General features: G+C 35.3%; 1 protein-coding gene and 1 pseudogene across 25 annotated transcripts in view; one reads left to right on the forward strand and one right to left on the reverse strand.

Annotated features, from left to right (window-relative positions):
* Positions 1 to 14,299, reverse strand: part of SLC4A7 (solute carrier family 4 member 7) — a 111,662-nt gene that overhangs the window by 76,119 nt on the left and 21,244 nt on the right. For 19 of the 25 annotated variants that reach the window (NR_135541.2, NR_135544.2, NR_135543.2 and 16 more), the window contains one exon: positions 3,576 to 3,657. Coding sequence is in view for 20 of the 25 variants with exons in the window: in XM_017007527.3 (XP_016863016.1) it covers positions 3,576 to 3,657 (82 nt within the window). In the remaining 5 variants the exon portion in view is untranslated. Of the gene's footprint in view, positions 1 to 3,575; positions 3,658 to 7,809; positions 7,938 to 14,299 lie in introns of those variants that run through there. The other 6 variants (XM_005265600.6, XM_011534261.4, NM_001258380.2 and 3 more) reach the window with 1 other exon arrangement.
* On the forward strand, positions 13,665 to 13,978 carry RPS20P15 (ribosomal protein S20 pseudogene 15; annotated as a pseudogene).

The following is a 14,299-nucleotide window of genomic DNA, read 5'->3' on the forward strand; positions in this document are numbered from 1 at the left end:
AAAAAGTGATATATACAAAAGTACTCCAAAATCTACTCTGATAAAGAATATAAGTTCACGTAATTAACAATGGTAGTCTCCAGTTACTTCTCTTATTTTATAAAGCACTACACAGAATATTGTGCCCAGGGCTAATATCACTGACAGATGATTACACTAAATCTACAAATCACTTATGTAAGTATTTGCACATCTAAAAAGATATCTTTTTTTTTGTTTTGTTTTTGTTTTTGTATTTTTAGTAGAGATGGGGTTTCACCATGTTGGTCAGGCTGGTCTTGAACTCCTGACCTCCTGATCCGCCCACCTCAGCCTCCCAAAGTGCTGGGATTACAGGTATGAGCCACCGCACCTGGCCTAAAAAGATATCTTAAGAAAGAAGAGCTTAGCCCATCTGAGATCATACTATGTAGACATATATTTATTCCATCTACATTTATGGCCAACCATAGTTAGTAGAGGTCCTTAAGAGATATATTTTAATAACAATTAAATACTTTATAATAAATATAATATATAAATAACATTTTAGTAACAATTACTTTATAATAAATATAATGTATAAATATTTACAAATATTTATTTACTAATTTTTGAGTTTTGAAAAAAAAATCAATAAAGACCAAAATAAAAATAAAGTCCAAATTACTGAGAGCTACATTAAATGTAAATAATCCAAATAAAGGTTAGAAACTGTCAGATTAAATAAAAAAGCAGTAAGTAAAGTTATTGCATGCTTTTAAACTAGAAAAAGCTACTGCTGATATTGCATTATCCTAACTTTGCAGTATAATAACAAAATAGTTATGAAAGGCAGTCTGTTTTTGACCACTAGATGAAACTGAATCAGGAAAGCTACAGAGCTAGGAGCACTATGTCAAATATCAAATGAGTGTTGAGTGAAGAGGGATGTGAAGTACAAGGTCAACTAATCTGCAACTATGTACACAATTTAAAAAGTTAATAGGCTGAAATACAAATGATTAATGACATTCCTTTCCTAAAAATTCCATAAAATGCTCAGAAAATAAGTATTTCAAGAAACTTAGGACTGCCATCTTTATATGTGACTTGAAAGTACAGTTGATCCTCATTATTCATGGGATTCCATATTTGCGAAGTTGCTGACTCACTAACATTTACTTGTAACCACAAAATCAATACTTAGGGAGATTTCATGCCATTTTTCGGACAGGCACAGAGCAGCATAAAATTTGAGTTGCCTGACACTCATGTTCCCAGGTAAGGCTTAAAAATGTGATACTCTGACATCTTATTTCAGCTGCCAATATATTAACCTCATAAATAATCACCTTTTAAATTAAAAGAGGGACAACTTAACAAAACATACTGAACTATTTGTTTAAACTTCTCCCAGTACTCAGCCTAGCACATGGTAAGTACTCGATAAATGTCTATGGAATTAAATCTCAACTACTAGAAAACAAAAATTCCAAATGTAAAAGCTAATTATACAGGGTTTATTTTTGGAATTATAGATATGTTTCGAGAATTAGACAGTGGTGTTGGTTGCATAATATAGTGAATACATTTAAAAAAGTGTGTAATTTAAATGGTTAATTTTATGTTATGTGAATCTCATTTAAAAAGTAATAAGAAATAAATATAAAAAAACTCAATTTTATTTTAATGAAACTATTTCCTTCAAAACATAAAGAAAAGTGGAAATTAAAGAGTCAAATTCCCATCACTGCACTGGGAATTACAAAGTTGTTCCTCCAATTAGTACTAATGGGTCTTGGCACAGAAGCCCCAATGCACCAAGATAAAAATAAATGCTATGAGTGTGCAGTTTAGAAAGAAAGGGATAGATAAAATAAATAAAAACACGCTAGAATCCAAAGATTGGTAGATTAAGCTTATTGTGTTTTCTTCTTTTACTATTGCCTCTAGTGTCCTCTGTTTTAATCTTTTTCTTTTTCTTTCCTTTTTCTTCTGCCCTTACTTTATTCTATCAAAAGCCTATTTACTCAAACTCTCTTAAACTTAATCTCTCCCTCAAACTTGATACCAAACTTGAAGATGTGTACAAAGTATGCAGAGCTTAGGGCCTGTGATAACCAAAGGAATCGAAGGAATATCCAGGTTATGTATAGGTGAGGGTTGACATTAAACATTAAATGTATGACTGTACATTTGAATTAGTAAAATTACCGCTAAAAATTTTAACCTCCCTAGCTCCTATAATTCACAGGATCTAACCATAAGCTTCTAGATAACTGAGGTTCTTTTTGGAAACCCTAACAAGCCTAGGCTCTTAAAGCCAATTTTTAGAGTTAAAAAAAAAAATCGTTTAGAGTTTAAAAAAAAGTCTTAGAATATAAATGAAAACATTTACAACATAAATCAAACTTTGTTTCTCTGTCCATCTCTTTTTTATTAAAATAAACAATAACTCAATATAGTACTAGCTCTCACAGAAGAGTTTAACTTAAGGATGTAGTTCCTATAAACATCCCCCAAAAATGTCTATCAAAATATTTGCCTTAAACACCACTTTAACCACATGTTCATAGTTAACATCATCAATAATAAGTCATGTTGATATCATATTGTCCACAGATATGGTGCACTGAAAAGGGAACATTACTTCTGTGGTATGCTTCCCAAATAACCATAACCTCCACCTACTCATGCCAAAACATCAGACTAAACCCAAACTGAGAAACACTGTACAAAATATCTAACCACTACTCTTCAAAAGTGTTAAGGTCATGAAAAACAAAAAAAGAATGAGAAACTGGTATAGATTAGGAGACTGAGGAGACTTGCAACTAAATGTACTGTTACAGATCCTCAACTGGATCAACTGAATCCTAGAACAGAAAAAGGCCATTAGTGGAAAAACTAGTGAAGCCTAAATAAAATCTGTGGTTTAACAGTAAACTAGTAATTAGTCAGATTCTAATTAAATTTGTAATTAACCAATGTTAATTTCTTCATTTACACAAATGTATGATGGCTGCGCAAAATGTTAACATTAGGAGAAACTGGGTGAAGTGTATGGAGGAACTATGTGCTGTCTTTGCAGCTATTCTGTAAATCTAAAATTATTTTCAAAAGAAAAGAAACCATTTGCCAGGACTTCTTCCTGTCTAAGGAAGAAAGATGGGCAAATAACTCAGTTGCTCTACAACTCTATGGAGAGGTTATTGCAACATTTTAAAAGGCTAATGTAACACCTATAAAATGAATGTTGAGATGACAATTAATGATAACTGTGGTTTATTAGTCTGGCACTCTAGTGTACTCATAACACAAATTACTCAGCCTGCTAGAAATGAAAAAAATAAGAGTTAACTAATTTTGTGACTGTGTCCTTTCAGTTTTCCAAGTTAAGGTAATTAATGGTAACCATCACTAAATTTTGAGAAGCATTATGAACTCTATCTTTTGCCAATACTTTCAAATGGCACTCTTCTCAATGTACGCTTTACCTTACAACAATAACAAAAAAACTCAACAAATACTAGGTAAAACTTAAAAGGATACTTAAAAACATTAATTAGTAAATTATCCTACTAAGCGAAGTAAGTTATTTTAAACCAACTTACTTTCTAGTTCTTCTTTTTCAAACTTGGTGTTCACAGTTGAGCTAGTTTTGCCAAGATCCACAACAGCTTCTTCATCAGGACCCTAAAAACAAATTATTCTCATTGACTCATGAGATCACAATCTATTGAGGACCTATTATATGCATCCTTTGAAATGGCAACAAAATATAAAACAGACTGCTTTCTCTCAAATAACTGAACTCATTACAGCTAATTGCATTCTTTTAAAATTATGTTTACAAGCTTTTTAAATCCACAGAAGACCATTCAAAAATCCCAGAGTGAGAAGTGAAATGGCAAAGATTTTTAAATGGTTTTCCATGCAAATTACCAAATAACTGGTAATATATTCATTTCATCCTCAAAAGACAGACCTTCTAGGGTCAGAGATTAAAGAAAATGTGATGTGAGAGGAATCCTTAGATGTCAACATGTAATGCTTTCTTTCTTGATCTTTGCTCTTAAGTCTCCTAAATAACAGGAAACAGCTATACTGGACTGAATTATGGTCAAACATAAAATTGTCAAAAATAAGCAGACTCAACATGCAGTACCACTTTAACTGATTAATCAAGAGCTAACAAAAGTTAAAAGAACTTTTTCTTTTCCCCCAAAGTAAAATTCATGCCAAAATTTAACCTCTAGGGAAATTCTAGCTGCAGTTGTGAAAATCCCACCTTCATAATTTTGTTCTCTTTTCAGTTCAACAAAAAGACTAAACATATTTATTAGAAAATGTTGTATAGGCTATTTTTAAGAGGATAAAATTTTAGCTTTAACTTCCCTTCTCAACTTGTAATAACTTTCAAAAGGACATTCTAATCATCATTAACTACTTATTATTAACTTATTATACACAAGATTCTATGCCACTGCTAGAGAGAGAACAAATACCCTTCCCTCAAAAAGTCTTTGAAGCCGGGCCTGGTTGCTCACGCCTATAATTGGATCACTTTGGGAGGCCAAGGTGGGCAGATCACCTGAGGTCGGAGTTCGAGACCAGCCTGACCAACATGGAGAAACCCCATCTCCACTAAAAATACAAAATTAGCCAGGTGTGGTGGCACGCGCCTGTAATCCCAGCTACTCAGGAGGCTGAGGCAGGAGAATCACTTGAACCCGGGAGGCAGAGGTATTGGTGAGCCAAGATCGTGCCATTGCACTCCAGCCTGGGCAACAAGCATGAAACTCCGTCTAAAAATGTATACAAAGTAAACTGACATACAATTGTTGCTGCTATGGAAACCCTCGGTGTCCAAATTCTCAGTAAGTAAACTCAGGAACTGAACTGATTTGATTAAATTTTCAAATAAATTCCTTGCTATCCAAACTACCACTATTTGTTATCCAAAACTCAGAACAGGACACAGTATATTAAGAAAATGCAGATCTTTTGATATCCAAATTTACTTTCTAAAGGCTAGATATCCAAACTGTAAATCAAATATATTTGGATATCAGGAGATACATGTATATGACTCTGAATGATTGGTGTTCAATTTAATATAGGTAACAGAGATATTAAATGACTTGGCTATAGTTCCATATTTAAAGGAGTGGGAGCAGGCCATGTAGACCATGAGACAATTTCATACAATGGACTAAGAAGATGGGCTAGGTGTGGTGGTTCACACCTGAAATCCCAGTACTTTGGGAGGCTGAGATGGGAGTATCACTTAAGCTAGGAGTTTGAGACCAGCCTAGACAACATAGCAAGACCCCCATCTCCATTTATTTAATAAAATTTTTAATTAAAAAGAAACTTAAGGCTAGGCACGGTGGCTCACATCTGTAATCCCAACACTTTGGGAGGCCGAGGTTGGTGGATCACCTGAGGTCAGGAGTTTGACACCAGCCTGGCCAACGTGGCAAAACCCCATCTCTACTAAAAACGAAAAAATTAGCTGGGCGTGGTAGCGGGCGCCTGTAATCCCAGCTACTCAGGAGGCTGAGGCAGCAGAATCGCTTGAACCCAGGAGGCAGAGGTTGCAGTGAGCCGAGATCACGTCACTTTACCCCAGCCTGGGAGACAAAGCGAGACTCCGTCTCAAGAAAGAAAAAAATTTTTTAATAAAAAACAAGACAGACAAATTAATCAAGCCGCCTTACAGCATTCACTTCCTCAGTAACAAGGAAAAGCCAAAGTAGGAAACCAAACCAAACCCCAAAAGTGCAAGAATGAATAATAATTTCCATCCATCAACCAAGTCATATTCTAAAATCTTGAGCTACGTGTTCCAATGACTTCATGTCATTTAGTCTCTGAACATGCACAGGTACAAAAGATAAGCTCTCCTAAGTAAAAGGCACAGAAGTTGTATCCTGAGAGGTAGCATACTGCCTATTCTAAAAGGGATTAACTGCTCCCATTCCAAACTTTCATTTAGGTCGCACAATTGCCAGGATATGAAGCAAAACAATTAACCCTCACCTTCAAATAACAACAAAAAGGACTCAAAAACAGCTTAAGTTATATAATCTCACAATACTTATAAATATATTATTTACTATACTTATTTAAAATACACATACCCTTTGACCTCTAAATATCTATCATAGATAAATGCTCCCACATGTACCAAACATGACATGTTAAAAAAAAAAAAAGAGCACATCCTCTCATGGTCTACACAGGCTGCTCCCACTATATACTGTCTGTGAAGTCTTGGGCAAGAGAAAGTTCAACTTCTCTGAACTTTCATTTTCACTGAGGCATTGTTTCCAATATTTAAAAAAATGAAACAAAAATGTGTGTCAATAGTAAGGAGACAATCTCATACCAAGGAGTGCTAGGAAACAGTTTGAGAAACCAGACCCAAAAAATGGAAGTAGATCTATGTGTCCTGGTAAGAAAAGGTCTCAAAGATAGTTGTTTACTGCAAAAGCACATTGTAGTGAATAAGATCAAGTTTATGTTAAAAATATTTACAAGACTAAACCAAAATTTTATTTCCACAGACATGTTTTCATATGTATTTATTTGTATTAAGTAAAAAGCCGGGGAAAAGGCTTGATGGGATACACACCAAATTCTTAACTGCTCCTTTCTGGAAAGGGAACTGGGTTTGAATGGAAGTCAAGTTAAAATATGAATTTATTGTTATTGTTTCAGTTTTCAATGAGAGTGTTTTCATGCGTAACTTGCATAACTAAATTTTTTTTTTTTTTTTTTTTGGAGACAGAGTCTCATTCTGTCGCCCAGGCTGGAGTGCAGTCTTTGGGAGGCCGAAGCAGGCAGATCACTTGAGGTCAGGAGTTCAAGACCAGCCTAGCCAACATGGTGAAACCCTGTCTCTACTAAAAATACAAAAATTAGCTGAGTGCGGTGGAGCATGCCTTTAATTCCAGTTACTTGGGTTGAACCCAGGAAGTGGAGGTTGCAGTGAGCGCATAGAGCGCCACCGCACTCTAGCCTGGGCAACAGAACGAGACCTTGTCTCAAAAAAAAACACAAAAAACAAAACCTAGTTCATAAATTTAAAAACCCAGCATCAACACATTACAAAATCAAAATTCAATTCAACATGAAAATCCCAGCAAAATCAAATCTAGTTTTGTTAGAAACAGATTTATGCCTTCATAAGATATTTTACTAATTCCTCTCATAGTTATTTATCTTGCCTGAAAAAGCAAAATCCACAATTTATATTTTTGTTGGTCAAATTATCAAAAATGACACTTAACATGCCAAAAGCAAAGTATTAGAAAAAAAGGATGTTAAAAGACACCTTTAAAATATAGTGTCTAATATCCTTTTGACACCCTAAGGTTTACAAAAATCCATTAAAACAGCCATCAGAGATCCCTGTCACAAATTAATTTTTCCATTATATAAGACATATGGCTATAGCCTAAAGTAATGCCTCCCATAAATTATGATGAACCATATGGAGTAAATTCATAGTTATCGAACACTTTAGCTTCAAAACACACTTAACTATTAAGATAAAGTGATTTCTTTCCTAATATCTTAACCAAATAATTTTTAAAGACTCGTTCAAGTAATATTAACTATCCAAAGAGTTAGTTTTATAGAAGAATAAAGATGCTACAATTATTTTTAACTTTACACAAGGAATTACTCTTCAACAGATGACTTCCACAGCCAAGGACACAAAGGATGATACTATTCTAAGCCAGTGCTAATAAGCCTGACATTTCTTCAAGCTTCACTATTAAACTCTGATTCAAATTCGTTTGTAAATAAAAGACAAGATCATAATTAGGTACATACAGGTAACTTCTTCTCCAGACGAAATCTTTCCATAGTAATATAGAAATGCCTTGTTTCTGATGATGTAATGCAGTAACTCCCTTGAAGATTCCAGGGACAGTGAGCACATATCTGATTTAGGTCACTGTGCTTTGCAGAGATGAATTCTTCTAAGTTACTTTTATGGTACAGCCAATCACTGTGTTCTAAGTTACCTAATCTTCCAAGCTAATAACTACAACTTACACAGGGTCACAGCATAACAGATTTGGAAAGTAATATACACATTTAGTTATAAGTAAAAATACCAAGAGGAATGCAGCAATCCGTTTTCAACTGAAACCTTTCTGCAATGTTAGTACAAAGAGTGCATACTCTAAGAATATATGTGGATGGATGTGTGAGAGTATGGTTTATAATTATCATTGTAACCAAAAAACAAAGTATTAATATGGACAATAGCTAGAAAAAAAAAAGAGTAGCACCCCTCTAACTACTGGACTTGGGATTCTCTACATTCTTAAAAATTCCTGAAGACCGAAAAGGACCTTGGTTTATATAAGTTACCACATCAGGATTAAAACAGAAAACTTCAAAGTACTTATTCAGAATTATTTACACAATAATAAAGCCATTACATGTTAATATACATAACATTTTAATGAAAATAACTTTTCAAAAACAAGACAAAACTTAGAGGAATACCTCTGTTTTACATTTTTACAAATCTCTTCAATTATCTAACTTAATAGAAGACAACTGGATTCTCATATCTACTTCTGCAGTCAATCTGATGTGATCTGCCCTTGGTTAAAGTATATTTAAAAATCCATATTCACACAGATATTCTGCTGGAAAGGGGAGGCATATTTCAATATTCTCTTCAGGTAGTTATGGACATTCCTCTGATAGTTCATCAAACTCAACAAGTATATTGTTTCTTAATAGTTGCAACGTAGAATCTGAAACCATTCCAAATGAACATTTTACACATTGTTACATCAAAATCCATTTGTCTACTATGCACTTTGAATGGATCTCTCACATTTTTGGAATGTATGTGTTCACAGGGTATTAGAGCTTTTCCAAATGTCACATTTCATTAAACAATATCAAAAATTTTTTTAAATCACACTTGTTAATAATATCACCAACAATCTCATAAGTCCAAGTATTGAGAAACTGTCAAAGTCAGGTTAGCAGATGCAAGTTTTCCAAAATTCTAAGTTTTGCCTGAAAGTCTGAATTATTATCATGGGTAACAAACACTATCAGTTGTTTTTCTTGAAGTGACAAGTTCACTTCATTCATTTTTGACAAAATATCTGTCAAATGCCCAAGTATGATTAACCAAGTCTGTCATTTTTTCTTTCAGGTAAAAATGGTGTTCCATGAAAATAACAGCTAGTTGAGTTCACAATTCAGGCAATTAACCAGTGATTTTTCTCCAAACAATCATTCTATTTGGATATGCAGCAGAAATGTTTTTACAAATGCTTATTTTGTCATTCAGAATATTAAAGCAATACACAAAGGCAAAAATTTAATAAGATAACTAGTTTTTACTGCTTCATCAAAGTGCTCTTTGTGTATACAGATTTGTTTCTTGGTACCCTCAATTCTATAAGCTAGCAAAATAGATGATATTTAATATTTTCTATAAAAATATTTATATCCCACAGCTAAAGTCTTACTACCCAGCTCATCCTGGAGAATTCACTGATGACGTGCACTAAATAAGTAGCAAAATAAGAAATAAATCTTTCACAACTTTACATAGGGAGACTGACTGTACGTAACAGGTGATAGACATGTCATACACTTCAAATACAACTAAGGCTTCTAAACTTCTCCAAGAACAGAAATCCCAATAACACCAACAGCTAAATAACATATATAATTAATTACATATTTGAAATCTTCACCCTTGTTATGTATGATATATACTTGGCAAATAAACATAAATCTAAAGAATCAAATACAAGAATAAGACATATGTCAGTCAATGATTTTTTTAAATTCTCAATACATTAAGCCCCAAAGAACATCTGCAAACAATCAGGTTAAAAACCAATTTCTGGCTGGGCAAGGTGGCTCATGCCAGTAATCCTAGGACCCTGGGAGGCCGAGGTGGGCAGATTACCTGAGGTCAGGTTCAAGACCAGCCTGGCCAACGTGGTGAAACCCCCGCCTCTACTAAATACACAAAAATTAGCCAGGCACAGTGGTGCCCACCTGTAACCCCAGCTACTCTGGAGGCTGAGGAAAGAGAATTGCTGGAACCCGGGAGGTGGAGGCTGCAGTGAGCTGAGATCATGCCACGGCACTGCACTCCAGCCTGGACAACAGAGCGAGATTCCATCTAAAAAATAAAAAATTAAATTAAAAAAAATTCCAAAATGACCTCTTGAAACATACTTCCTATGGAAAATCTTGGCCCTCCCCACCAGTACTTAAGAGCTTAACCTCCTGGTCAAGCACATGTCCTTTCCTCCCCCACTGGATTATAAAAACCATAAGCATAGGGATTTGAGTGGGACGAAGGGAAGGTTAAGCAACCCCAGAGGGAAAAGAAGAAGAAACTAGGTGCACGTAGACTTTTTAATTTCCCAAATACAAAACAAAATATTATACACCAAAATACGAAAGACACACTTCTCCAACGTTTCCCATTTAACACTATCATGGACACTACCAAACCAATATTCCAATAAAATTTTAAAAATCAAGGTTTATAGGTGAAATGGTGAAGTTAGTTTTAGTTTAATACATTATTTGATAAAATAAAAATATAAAGTAACTCAACAAATAAACTTTAACCAATAGGCTTTCGTTTGGCTAATTCTTTAAAGATTTATTTTCAGTATAATTTTATTTAATAGCAGGCACACACAAACATCTCATTTGATCCCTTGGTCTCTTCACTCCATTTTCAGCCTTCTAATATTTTTATGCAAATGGAAATATATATATTCTTACAAAAAAGATAGCATTCATTACACACTTACTGTTTTATATATAACTTGCTTTTTTCACTTAAACTACATTTTTAAGTAATTTATCAAATTAATCTGTAAACAGTAGGAAAATCCAAGGTTACAGAAGTGCCCCCAAATAAGCAAGCATTCCTCCCATTCCCACTTCCACTCATGAGATATAATTACATTCTGTTGTGTCTTGTAACTCTTTAGTTGCTAGAGTTGCCATTATAACTTTAAATACTTTATTTTATGTCTTGGTTTATCAATTTTAAACAGTATCTTTCCACAAAAAGAAAAGAATTTTCTCCAACACACCCATATCCTTTCATTTACAATCTCTCTTCCACATCTCAGTGTTATTTATATATATATATATATATACACACACACACACACACACGTGTATATATACACATATATATATATAATTTTTTTTTTTCTTTTGAGACAGGGTCTCGCTCTGTCGCCCAGGCTGGGTGCAGTGGCAATCTTGGCTCACTGCAACCTCCGCCTCCCAAGTTCAAGCAATTCTCATGTCTCAGCCTCCCTGGCAGCTGGGATTATAGGCGTCCACCACTACGCTCAGCTAATTTTTATATTTTAAGTAGAGACCAGGTTTCTCCATGTTGGCTAGGCTGGTCCCAAACTTCTGGCCCCAAAAGATAACCACCCACCTGGGCCTCCCAAAATGCTGGGATTATAGGTGTGAGCCACTGCACCGGGCCTATATTTTTTTGTATCAAGGTGCATAACATTTACATTCCATTCAATATTTATAATAAAGCCTTCTAAGCTCTGTCCTCTGGTTAATTCTAAAACTGAAAACTCATATTAAAAAGCATCTGAAGTACTAGAATTAAATACTGTATTGTCTGTGCAGAACCAATAATTAAAATTGGACCATCTGAATCAATGTCACCAAATCCCTACTGCTCACAAGAGACTATTTCAAACGCTAAAGTAAAGTAGATCCCTCTATTAATTTATTATCAAGGGTGTTTTCCCCTAGTTTGTCTGAGTGATGTTCAGCTCATATTATTCCTTTCTCATTTTCATTTAAGAAGGCCTTGAGAAATATGCTTCACGATGAATATATGGGTGATAAAGAAAACCTTTTCATGTTCAAAAATCATTTTACTCGATACGTATTTTGGATAGATACCTTCTCTCAGGTACTGCGCCATGGCCTTTAAGAATCTAGTGCTGTTGACCAGAAGCCTAATACCCACCAGGTTTTTGTTTCTTTGTTTTTCCACTTCTGGCTCAATAATTTCATCAAGATGTGTCTAGATGTATGTCTTTAATTATTCCTTCAAGACTCCCAGTAGACCTTTACAACATGACTCAAGTATAATGAAAATAAAATGAACCTGTTCAAAAGTAATAAAATTATAACCAGAAACCAAGAGCAAACATACTAAAGTGTAAAACACTAAAGATTTCACTTGTTACGCGAGCTGCAAGATTCCACTGTCTATAGGAAAATCCATCAATTTGAATGTGGAGCTAATGTAATGAAAACAGAACAAAAAAACAAAATTATCTTTATTTGCAGATGATGTGACAGTGTACCTAGAATGACAGATTCATCCAATTAGCACACACACACACACACACACACACACAAAACACATTCATTTGGCCAGGCGTGGTGGCTCACACCTGTAATCCCAGCTACTTGGGAGACTGTGGCAGGGAGAATTGCTTGAACCCAGAAGGCGGAGGTTGCAGTGAGCCAAGACCACGCCACTGCACTCCAACCTGAGTGACGAAGCGAGACACTGTCTCAAAAAAAAACAAAAACAAAACAAAACAAACAAACAGATTCATTTGAAGGCAGCCAATTACAAGATAAATTAAAACCAATAGCTTTTCTTTAAGCAGTAACAGGCCAGGAATGGTGATAATCCTACAACTTTGGTAGACCAAGGCTGGAGGATGGCTTGAGGATAGGATTTTGAGACTAGCCTAGGCAACACAGAAAGACCTCGTTTACAAAAAAAAAAAAAAAAAGAATAAATAAAAAGGAAAAATGGTATATAAAAATGGATTAGGAATATGAACCATGGCTGGGCACAGTGGCTCACGTCTGTAATCCCAATACTTTGGGAGGCCGAGGCGGGCAGATCACTTGAGGTCAGGAGTTTGAGACTAGGCTGGCCAACATGGTGAAACCCCATCTCCACCAAAAAAAAAAAAAAATTAGCCGGGCACTGTGGCATGCTCCTGTAGTCCTGGCTACACGAGAGGCTGAAGTGGGAGGATCACTTGAACCTGGGAGGCAGAGACTGTAGTGACCCAAGATTGTACCACTGCACTCCAGCCTGGGAAACAGTGCGATTCCATCTCAAAAAAAAGATGATGAACCAAGTAATTCCCTTACGTAAAAATACCAATGGCCAATAACTAAAGGGACACTCTCACTAGATATTCAACAAATGGAATTTAAGACCCATCAGATTAGCAAAACAAATTTTTTAATGGACCGTACATGAGATTTAATTTTTCTTTCCATAAATTTTTTTAAATTCACATTTAAAACTAGTAAAGATAGGGAGACACAGACACTTTTGTACTTCCTACTTGGGAATGTAAATTGCCCAAAACTTTGGAGAGTAAACTAGCAAGAATTCATTTACAAATTTTTCAGCATACATTTGGTGCAGCAATATGACTTCTGTGTATCTACTCAACAGAAACAAAACCAACAAAATATAAAGTCAAGAACGTTTGGGGTTTTTAAAGAAGACACGTTCGCAGGTACTGGGGAGCTCTGGTCAACCCACTCCTGCTCCTGACTCACATTATGTTCCTGAGTCATTGATGTTTGGTGTCACTGAGGAACAAGTTGATCAGGAAGCAATACCATAGCCATGCTTCTAAAGATACTGGAAAGAACCAGAGGTGGAGATTTGACAAATCGGAATTATGCTAAGCAGTCGCAATGTAAAATCGCCGAAGATGATGTGTGCTGGCTTGAACAGAGGCGCAAAGGAAAGGAATCTTAAAAGGACCAGTTCAGATGCCTAAGACTTTGAGAATCACTACAAGAAAAACTCACGGTGAAGGTCCTAAAACACGGGATCGCTTCCAGTTGAGAATCTAAAAGCAACTCAGACTTGGAGAATCCTTCTAAGATTGTTAAACAGATTACTTCCATCACTACTGCATTAGTAATTGAGGCTGAAGTTACCACTGGAGATGCTTAACTATTTAATAAACTGATTACGAGTTGGGTTTAAAAAGTGTTTACTGTTCAAACCGGGAAAAACAAAGAATCTGAAAGCAAAAAAGAAATGGCTGATTACCATGGAATATTATAATGATATTATGAACAACGAGTTACAATTACAAAGTCCCATGCAACAGATGTCGGTAAAATATTAAGAAAGCAGGGACTGGGCGCAGTGGCTCACGCCTGTAATCCCAGCACTTTGTGAGGCGGGGGCAGAGGTGGGCAGATCACCCGAGGTCAGGAGAGACCAGCCTGGCCAACATGGCGAAACCTCGTCTCTACTCAAAATACAAAA

Source organism: Homo sapiens, chromosome 3, assembly GCF_000001405.40.
Source record: "Homo sapiens chromosome 3, GRCh38.p14 Primary Assembly".
Taxonomy (NCBI): domain Eukaryota; kingdom Metazoa; phylum Chordata; class Mammalia; order Primates; family Hominidae; genus Homo; species Homo sapiens.